This window comes from Homo sapiens, chromosome X (assembly GCF_000001405.40).
Source record: "Homo sapiens chromosome X, GRCh38.p14 Primary Assembly".
Taxonomy (NCBI): Eukaryota; Metazoa; Chordata; class Mammalia; order Primates; family Hominidae; genus Homo; species Homo sapiens.
The window spans coordinates 73,907,970-73,918,123 of record NC_000023.11 but is presented as its reverse complement, the minus strand read 5'-3'; the positions used below and the strand labels follow the sequence as shown (position 1 = coordinate 73,918,123).

General features: G+C 41.6%; 1 annotated feature.

Moving 5' to 3' along the window:
• Window positions 2,621-3,121: an enhancer, noted in NCBI's record as "H3K4me1 hESC enhancer chrX:73134838-73135338 (GRCh37/hg19 assembly coordinates)". NCBI's record gives its function as "activates a minimal SCP1, AML or CMV promoter by ChIP-STARR-seq in primed H9 embryonic stem cells {active_cell/tissue: H9 hESC(primed)}" and the evidence as "EXISTENCE:reporter gene assay evidence [ECO:0000049][PMID:30033119]".

Here is a 10,154-nt window from a genome sequence, read left to right as displayed (position 1 = left end):
GAGCACTCATTTGGCAAAGCAACACCAATAAGCAAGGGTCTGGTAACTGCCCTAGTCCTCCTAGATGTTGTTTGTATACATTAAAATAAAGTGCTTATTTATCTCAATGTGTTTCCATATAGTATATCTTCAGGCAGAATTAAAAAGTTTTGAAAATAATTCAAGCTATGTGAGAAAAGATATTTTGGGGCAGAAAGCCATCATATAGTCAGGCAAGACCTATTTGGGAACATACACCTACCCTCTTCCTGTCTCCTAAACTGTTCTGGTCATCATAGCTTTGTCCCTTTCTCCCACAGATTTTCTACAAAATCGTTTTTTTTGTTTTTTTTTCCTGAATAGCTCAACTGCCAGTGTTACTGGGGGGCCTTTGAGAAGGGAGAGGAAAGTAAGAGAGAGGAAAGCAAGAGATGGCAGTTAATTTTATGGAAGTATCATTTTTGAATCAAGCATTTGTAAGTTAGAGATTGTCCAAAATATTATTTCAGAGGCTGTAGGAAGTCTCCTTGCCCTGTAAGTGACTTCACATAACAGTTCACAAATGTCTCAGGGAAACAAGACATAAAACCTCTCTTATCTTTTGTTAGGGCCTTGAGAGCAGAGCTTAAATTCCCAAGGGCACTTGTCATTTCCTGGAGAGGCTTTCTTCATCTTATACAAAGGAAAGGAATGTTCATCTGTCTCTGTTGGTCAAAGTTCAACTCAAGCTTTCAGTTGTTTTTTTCTTCTCCTGAATTTTCAAGTACATGTTGGGGCCTATTTTTGTTTCACTGAATTTTACATATGACCACAAGCAAAATCAGGAATTTAATTCATAATCTAACTGCCAAACTCCTTCATATTTCTTGTACTTTGATTTACACTGCTAGATACTCTGGAGTTACAAAGATATAGAATACCATTTTTGCGCTCAAAAAGTTTATAACCCAGTAGACAGCTGGAACATATAGAAGTAAAAGTTCAGCTGAGGCTATAAATACCAAATAGCAGCCCATTGCTTCTTGGATAAGGTCCAAGCTCTTTACCCTAGAAGTCAAGCCATTTCTGTGTGTCTGTGGCTGCTCCAGCTTCATTTCTCACTACTTTGTCTCTATTTCACCCAAAACCCCACAGTGTCCTACTATACTCATTCTGTATATCTTTACCTTTGCCTAGGCTGCCTTTGTCTCTCTGCCCCGCCACCACCCCATTCTTCTTCACCCCTTTAAATTTTACCCATCCTAGTCTTGAAACCTCTCTTGACCATACAAATCATCCCCTTCTCTGAACTGTAACATTTACTACAATTACCATTCATTTTGCCCTTGGAATACAACTGATTTGTGTGGGAGCTGTTTTTATTCACTTTAGTCTTTTCTCTCCACTTACATCTGAAGAGGTTTAAGAGACTAAATTTTTCAATCTCTGTATTTCCCATAACAAAGCCTGGTTCAGTGTTCAGTTAAGGCTTGGTTAATTACCCTGATCAGAGTAAGAAAGAGAGTGAAGACTGCTGAGAAATGGCTTTGTAAAGGACATTGAGGACCTCTTAGAGAAGAATGTATCCATTGCTCACAAAATATTCACTCTAGGTAGCTCTTTTGGATAGAAAAGCCACAACAGGGTTGAATTTTTCCCTCAGAAGAATAAACCTATTTCCATAGTAAATTTGACCAAGTTGTCCTAATGAAACTAGACTGCAGAGTTTGGACCACGTCTTCTCTTGATCTTACCCCTACTCCATCCATTAGGAAGGACAAAGCCTAGCTTTAAAGCAGTTCATTCCTAAAAATAAAATGATTTTAACAGAAATTTAAAAGTTGTCCTGTTATAGTAACTTGCAGAAATGAATCCAACCTGATGCTTGAAGTAAGAAAGAGAGGACAGGGTCCTAGGGCCTTCCCCTTAACCACTATTTCTCTTGCTTTTAGAAATCTCTAACAAAACCTTAAGCTCCCTGAGTACAGAGACCCTATCTTACTTATAACTTTAATTTACATATCAGGGCCTAGCACTGTGTGCTGAAAACATATCGTCATACTCAGCAAAGGCTTATTGAAATAAACACAGACACTTAAATGTTACAGATCAACGGTGTCCAGTGTTAGGAGCAGAAAGAGAATATACGTTTTGAGAAATCAATTAACCACACACAATCATTGCCTCATTCAAGACAATGTGGTTGCTGCTTTAGGGGATAGAGAGATCAGTAATACAAGATCCCTGCCCTGCATGAGTTCATAATCTCATTGGGAAGACAAGTCATACTCAATTCCAAAAGAAAATCAGCTTAGCATAAAAAAAAGAATTGGACTAGAAGTTAGGAGTAGTGCTGGGGTTCCATCGGCTATTGGCTTACTTGTGATCTTCAACAACCTCTCTGGACATGTTTGGTCCTCCCTGCTTCACCTGAATCATAGGGTTATTTAATAGTTCAGATAAATTAGAGAATTTACTCATATGTAAAAGTGTAAAATACTTGGCCTGGCTCGGTGGCTCATGCCTGTAATCCCAGCACTTTGGGAGGCCGAGGCAGGCGGATCACCTGAGGTCAGGTGTTTGACACCAGCCTGACCAACATGGAGAAACCCCGTCTCTACTAAAAATACAACATTAGCCAGGTGTAGTGGTGCATGCCTGTAATCCCAGCTACTCGGGAGGCTGAGGCAGGGGAATTGCTTGAACCTGGGAGGCGGAGGTTGCAGTGAGCCGAGATCGCACCACTGCACTCCAGCCCGGCGACAGAGCAAGACGTCGTCTAAAAAAAAAAAGGAGGAAGCAGATCCCACATGGAGAAATAAAAACTCCTTTAAGCTTTCCTCTACCCTCTCCCCACTTCCCATCCTGGAATACCTCCAATTTATTCCTGTTCTTTTCTTCCAGTCTTTGCATCTGTCCTTCCGATTGGGTCACAGCATTAAAAGAGGTGAGCCATCCAACCCTGAACCTTCTAAGGAAGGAGCAATTTCTCCAAATCTCCATGAGCCTCTCTCCCCCAGCAAATCCACCCAATGATGTGAGGTTAGAGGAAAAAGCCTTCTGATAGAGTGAGGATGGGGTTAGGCAAACCATCACACAGGCAACTGGTGCAACAGCAAGACTTCCTAACAACTAAGAGCTAGGCCTACATGGGAAATGACACAACTGGCAGTGACATATGTGATTCAGTGAATGTTGATCCCTGCTAGTATGAAAGCTACAGCCACAGCTTTCTTTACTTGGTAGAGCCCTGGAGGCCATAATTACCCCACAGAGCTTCAGACTGCTGTTTTACTATGGACAGATTTTCTCCATTTATGAGGTTTTTAGGTGACTGAAATTTTCTCTGATTGGCACAAAAGTATACTTTTTCAGTCAGAAAAGGCTGTCTAGGAAAGACATAGGATATATATATATATATTTTTTTCCTCTGTATGTGTTTCTATCTACTGTGTGTGAATATGTATCTAATGTGCTTATGTGTGTGTATTTAGAATATAGTGTGTATGGCTATGACAGAAAAATTTTTAACTAAGTTGCATTTAGTGTTGCTCTCCTGGGACTCTGGGAGTGATGTCAATAATTTTTTCTAGGAAGTGATTAAATAGGCCTCAAGAATTATTTTTCTCAAATTTTCTTTTTACTTTTGGTTTGAGACAGAGTCTTACTCTGTCACCCAGGCTGGAGTGCAGTGGCGCAATCATGGCTCGCCGTCGCCTTGACATCTAGGCTCAGGTGATCCTCTCATCTCAGCCTCCCAAGTAGCTGGGACTGCAGGTGTGTGCTACCACACTTGGCAATTTTTGTATTTTTTTTTTTTGAGATGGGGTCTAGCTCTGTCGCCCAGGCTCTAGTGCAGTGGTGCAATCTCGGCTCACTGCAACCTCTGCCTCCCAGGTTCAAGCAATTCTCCTGCCTCAGCCTCCTGAGTAGCTAGGATTACAGGTGCCCACCACCACGCCTGGCTAAGTTTTGTATTTTTAGTAGAGACAGGGTTTCACTGTGTTGGCCAGGCTGGTCTCGAACTCCTGACCTCATTATCCGCCCGCCTCGGCCTCCCAAAGTGCTGGGATTATAAGCGTGAGCTACCACACCCAGCCTAATTTTTGTATATTTTGTAGAGACGGGGTTTTGCCATGTTGCCCAGGCTGGTCTCGAACTCCTGGGCTTAAGCAATCTGCCTTCCTTGGCCTCTCAAAGTGCTAGAATTATAGATGTGAGCCACCACGCCTGGCCTTTTCTCAAATTTTCTAGTTTGGTACTTTAGCAAGCCGGCAGAAGATTTGTTAGCACTTCCAAAAGACAAGAGAGGTACTGTGCCAGAAGCCTCAGGGGCAAAAGTCTATTGGTAGACTCCCGGCAATCAGGCTCAGCTAATCCTCTCCCTTATGAAGCTTTCCTTTCTTGGACCTTGGCAGTGGTCCAATCACAACACCAATATCCACTGAATTTCCTACGACAGATACACGGGAAAGCTAACTATTTAAAGGCTATTCTGGGAAGTATCAAGCTAGCCCTTATATCCCAAAAGTATAGCCAGGTATCCAACCCTATGACTAGACCAAAGGCACTGTACTGGTGGCACCAGTAGAAAGGGAGAAGTAAGCCTTCAAAAAAATCAGGTTAAACTGAATTCTTGTATCCCTCCTTTCCTGAGAGATATATCTCTCTCAGGTGCCCTGTCCAACTCTACCCCCACAGCAATTTCTTCACTGGACATTAAAACCTTATCCATTTCCTGGCTGTTAATGGATTGTGGATCCTTTTCCCACTCAGGCAGCTATTTCAGTTCTGAAGACTCTTAGAAATTGTGTGTCGAGCTCCCTCAACTTTCATCCAGAAAATGGAATTTCATAACATGGAAGGGGTTTGCTAAAGTTATGCAGCAAGTTGTAGAACTGGACATGTCTCCTGATTCCTTGATGCATGGTTTCTACTACAAGGTTCTCCAACTTGTGGCCTGGAGGCCACATGCAGCCCGGGACAACTTTGAATGTAGCCCAACACAAATTTGTAAACTTTCTTACAACATCATGAGATTTTTTTGTGATTTTTTTTTTGGTACATCAGCTATCATTAGTAGAGTGAATGTATTTTATGTGTGGCCCTAGACAATTCTTCTTCCAATGTGGCCCAGGGAAGCCAAAAGATTGCACACCCCTATACCACAACATAGTGAGTCTTAAACTTTGTTCTCTCTATCATGTGTATTATATTCCCTCTGGCTTTCCATGGATGAGGAGCAGATCTATCTCCAAGTTTAGGATACCTCCTCTGTGGCTTTGTATGTAAGAGCTGTTTCTATCAGTCTCCTCTTTGGATTAGCTGTATATATGTCACACTGGCTTCAGCAAAAACTCGTTTTCTTGTCAAGGTCTCAAGTGCCCAATACAAGGAAAGAGAGGGCTTTCTCAGTCGCAGCCTTGGAAGGGGGCCCTTCCCTATGTAACTCTTCTCATGGATTCCCTAGGAATTTAATAAACCAGCCCCTGGAAGAACAACTGGTTCTAAAACTACAAGAAGTGTGATGGTAGTTCAAAGCCACATATAGAGGTCCAGATACCTCAATATTAAAGCTAAGAACTGAGAATGAAAGCCAGAGGTTCTAAATGGGGAGCAGAAGATATTCTTTTTCTTTTTTCTTTTTCTTGAGACAGAGTCTCACTCTGTCGCCCAGACTGGAGTATAATGGCGTGATCTCGGCTCACTGTAACCTCCTCCTCCTGGGTTCAAGCAATTCTCCCTGCCTCAGCCTCCCGAGTAGCTGGGATTACAGGCATCTGCCACCACGCCCGGCTAATTTTTGTATTTTCAGTAGAGATGGGGTTTCTCCATGTTGACCAGGCTGGTCTCAAACTCCTGACCTTAGGTTATCTGCCTGACTTGGCCTCCCAAAGTGTTGGGATTACAGGCATGAGCCACTGCACCTGGCCAAAGATATTTCTTGCTTGAAACCTCCTCTTCCAGCTGGGTGTGGTGGCTCACGCCTGTAATCCTAGCACTTTGGGAGGCTGAGGTGGGCGGATCACCTGAGGTCAGGAGTTTGAGATCAGCCTGGCCAACATGATGAAACCCCATCTCTACTAAAAAATACAAAAGAAAAACATTAGCTGGGCGTGGTGCTGCGTGCCTGTAATCCCAGCTGCCTGGGAGGCTGAAGCAGAAGAATCGCTGGAACCTGGGATGTGGAGGCTGCAGTGAGCTGAGATTGTGCCACTGCACTCCAGCTTAGGCCACAGAGCAAGACTCCATCTCAAAAAAAAAAAAAAAGAAAAAAAAAGAAACCTCCTCTTCCTGTGTCACTAAATTTCTTGATTATTTCTAAATTTGCAGTTTTGTGGTCTTTTTTGTTATTTCTTATGGAAGCAAAAACCCTCTGAAAGAATCCATCCCTTCATACCACCTGATGCCTCCCCATCTGACCATATTGGCCTTTAGCTTAGAGAAGGTGGGATTGGGTCCCCCTACTGCTCAGTACGTCAGGAAATACCTCACTTGTGGCTTAGTCTTTAGGTGTTTTCTTTCCTCCTCTCCATCTTATACATTTATTTGTGAAGTTCAAGATATGACATTGCTTCTGAGATTTGGTTTGATTTTCCCTTTTTTTCCTCAAGATGTTCCCAGTGGCCTCCTCTCCAAAACTGGTACACAACTCGATGTCATGGTCTAATGGTTCTGAATTCACATTGTCTCTGTTTCCCCAACTCCTGTTATGTTTTCTTGCTTCTGTTTGTTAGCTATTTTTCTCTGCCTAACCTCTTTCCTCCATCACCCAGGTTGACTCTATGGGCTATTCATGATAAAATGAAAAAGAAAGCTAGGCGCAAGACAGCATGTTAAGGCCAAGTACGGTGGCTCACGCCTGTAATCCCAGCATTTTGGGAGGCTGAGGAGGGCGGATCACCTGAGGTCAGGAGTTCAAGACCAGCCTGACCAATGTGGAGAAACCCTGTCTCTACTAAAAATACAAAATTAGCTGGGCGTGGTGGCACATGCCTGTAATCCCAGCTACTCGGGAGGCTAAGGCAAGAGAATTGCTTGAACCTGGGAGGCAGAGGTTGCGGTGAGCCGAGATCACGCCATTGCACTCCAGCATGGACAACAACAGTGAAACTCTGTCTCAAAAGAGAAAAAGAGAGAGAGAAAAAAAGATAGCATGTTAATATCTCTAGCCAGGCACAGTGGCTCATGCCTACAATCCCAGCACTTTGGGAAGCTAAGGTGGGTGGATTGCTTGAGCCCAGGAGTTTGAGACCAGCCTGAGCAACATGGTGAAGTCCCATCTCTACAAAAATTACAAAAATTAGCTAGGCAGGGTGGCGTGCACTTGTAGTCCCAGCTACTTGAGAGGCTGAAGTGGGAAGATGGCTTGAGCCCAGGAGGTTGAGGCTGCAATGAGCCGTGATTGTGCCACTGCACTCCAGTCTGAGTGAAAGAGTAAGACCCTGTCTCAAAAACAAAGAAAAGTCCCCCCCACCCAAAAAAAACCCACCCAATATCATTCTCTAGCATGGTAACAGCTAAATTCCCATAAATGTGTGTATATGCATGCATGTGTGTAGGGTAGTGTTTGGGTACTAAATTTTAACATTTTCTGTCACAAGTAGATGTCAGAGGAAGAGTCATTAAATAAAAAATATATCCTGCTTTTCAATGAAATGCATTATTGTCTTTTAGTGAGCCTGTCACTTTGACCGAAATACCATTTTTCTGAAACTCATACAATTTGTATTTCTGGTAAGAAATAAGATGGGAAAAAAGCTGAATAAAATTCATTTCTTTATTAAAGAGTGTCTGCTCTGTGCCAAGCACTGGGACTGGAGCCAATGACATATTCATGTAAGAATAAGCTATAGCCTCTGCTCTCAAAGATACAGCACTGTAAGCATCCTAGTAGTCAAAATGCTAGAAGAGTTGAGAGAAAGGAACAATCACGTATGATGTGGTTATCAGAGACTGCTAAAAGGAGGAAGTAAGACTTGAATTGGTCTTTTGATTGAAATGGAAGGGATTACATTTGATTGAAATGGAAGGGATTACATTGCATGTAAAAGCATAGACGTGAATCTGACAAAGACATAACAAAAGAAGAAAACTACAGGCCAATATCCCCAATAAACACAGATGCAAAAATCCTCAAAAAACACTACCAAACCAAATCAAAAAGTTAATTCACCATGATCAAGTGGGCTTTATTCCTTGGATGCAAGAATGGTTCAGCATATGCAAATTAACAAATGTGCTTCACCACATAAACAAAATTTAAAACGAAAACCATATGATCCTTTCAACAGACACAGAAAAAGCATTTGATAAAATTCAACATTCCTTAATAATAAAAACCCTCAACAAACCAGTCATTAAAAGACCGTATCTCAAAATAATAGGAGCCATCTATGACAAACCCACAGCCAACATCATGCTGAATAGGCAAAAGTTGGAAGCATTACCTCTAAGAACTGGAACAAGACAAGGATGCACACTCTTGCCACACCTATTCAACATAGTACTATAAGTCCTAGCCAGAGGAATCAGGCAAGAGAAAGAAATAAAAGGTGTCAGCCAGGCGTGGTGGCTCACGCCTGTAATCCCAGCACTTTGGGAGGCCGAGGCGGGTGGATCAAGAGGTCAGGAGATGGAGACCATCCTAGCTAACACAGTGAAACCCCGCCTCTACTAAAAATACAAAAAATTAGCTGGGTGTGGTGGCAGGTGCCTGTTGTCCCAGCTACTCGGGAGACTGAGACAGGAGAATGGCATAAACCCGGGAGGTGGAGCTTGCAGTGAGCAGAGATCATGCCACTGCACTCTAGCCTGGGAGACAGCCAGACTCTGTCTCAGCAAAAAAAAAAAAAAAGAAAAGAAATAAAAGGTGTCTAAATAAAAAAAGAGGAAGTCAAATTCAAATTATCTCTTTGCTAATGATATAATTCTATACCTAGAAAATCCTAAATATTCCCCCCAAAAACTCCTAGGCCTGATAAATGACTTCTGTAAAGTCTCAGGATACAAAATCAATGTACAAAAATCTATAGCATTTCTATATACCAATAATGTTTAAGCTCAGAAACAAATCAAGAATGCAATCCCATTTACAATAGGCACACACACATATACAACAATACATAGGAATACACCTAACGAAGGCAGTGAAAGATCTCCATGAGAAGAACTACAAAACACTGCTGAAAATAATCACAGACAGCACAGACAATTGGAAAAGTATTCCATGCTCATGGGTTGGAGGAATTAGTATCATTGAAATGTCCATATTGCCCAAGGCAATATAGAGATTCAACACTATTCCTATCAAATAGCCAATGTCGTTTTTACAGAATCAGGAAAAACCTATTCTAAAATTCATATGGAACCAAAAAAGAGCTGGAATAGCCAAGCCAATTCTATGAAAAAGAATAAAGCCGGAGGGAGGCGGAGCTTGCAGTGAGCCGAGATCGTGCCACTGCCCTTCAGCCTGGGCGACAGAGTGAGACTCCGTCTCACACAAAAAAAATAAATAAATAAAATAAAAAGAATAAAGCTGGAGGGATCACACTACCCAACTTCAAACAATACTACAAGTAACCAAAAACAAATGGTACTGGTACGAAAATAGACACATGGACCAATAGAACATAATAGAGAACCCGGAAATAAAGTCACATAGCTACAACCAACTGATCTTTGACAAACTCAACATGTATAAACAATGGGGAAAGGACACCCTATTCAATAAATGGTGTTGGAAAAACTGGGTAGCCATATGCAGAAGATTGAAACTGGACCCCTATCTATCAGCATGTATGAAAATTAGCTCAAGATAGATTAAATACTTCAATATAAGATCTAAAATTATAAAAATCCTGGAAGAAAACCTAGGAAATACTCTCTTTGATATTGGTCTAGGCAAAAAAAAAAAAAAAATTATCACTAGGTTCTTAAAAACAAATGCAATAAAACCAAAAATTGAACAAGTGGGACCTAATTAAACTAAAGAGCTTCTGCACAGCAAAATAAATTACCAACAGAGTAAACAGAAAAAATGGGATAAAATATTTACAAACTATGATTCTGGCAAAGGACTAATATCCAGGATCTATAAGAAACTTAAATCAACAAGTAAAAGACAACCCCATTAAAATGTGGGCAAAAAACATGAACAGACCCTTCTCAAAAGAATACATTCAAGTGGCCAGCAA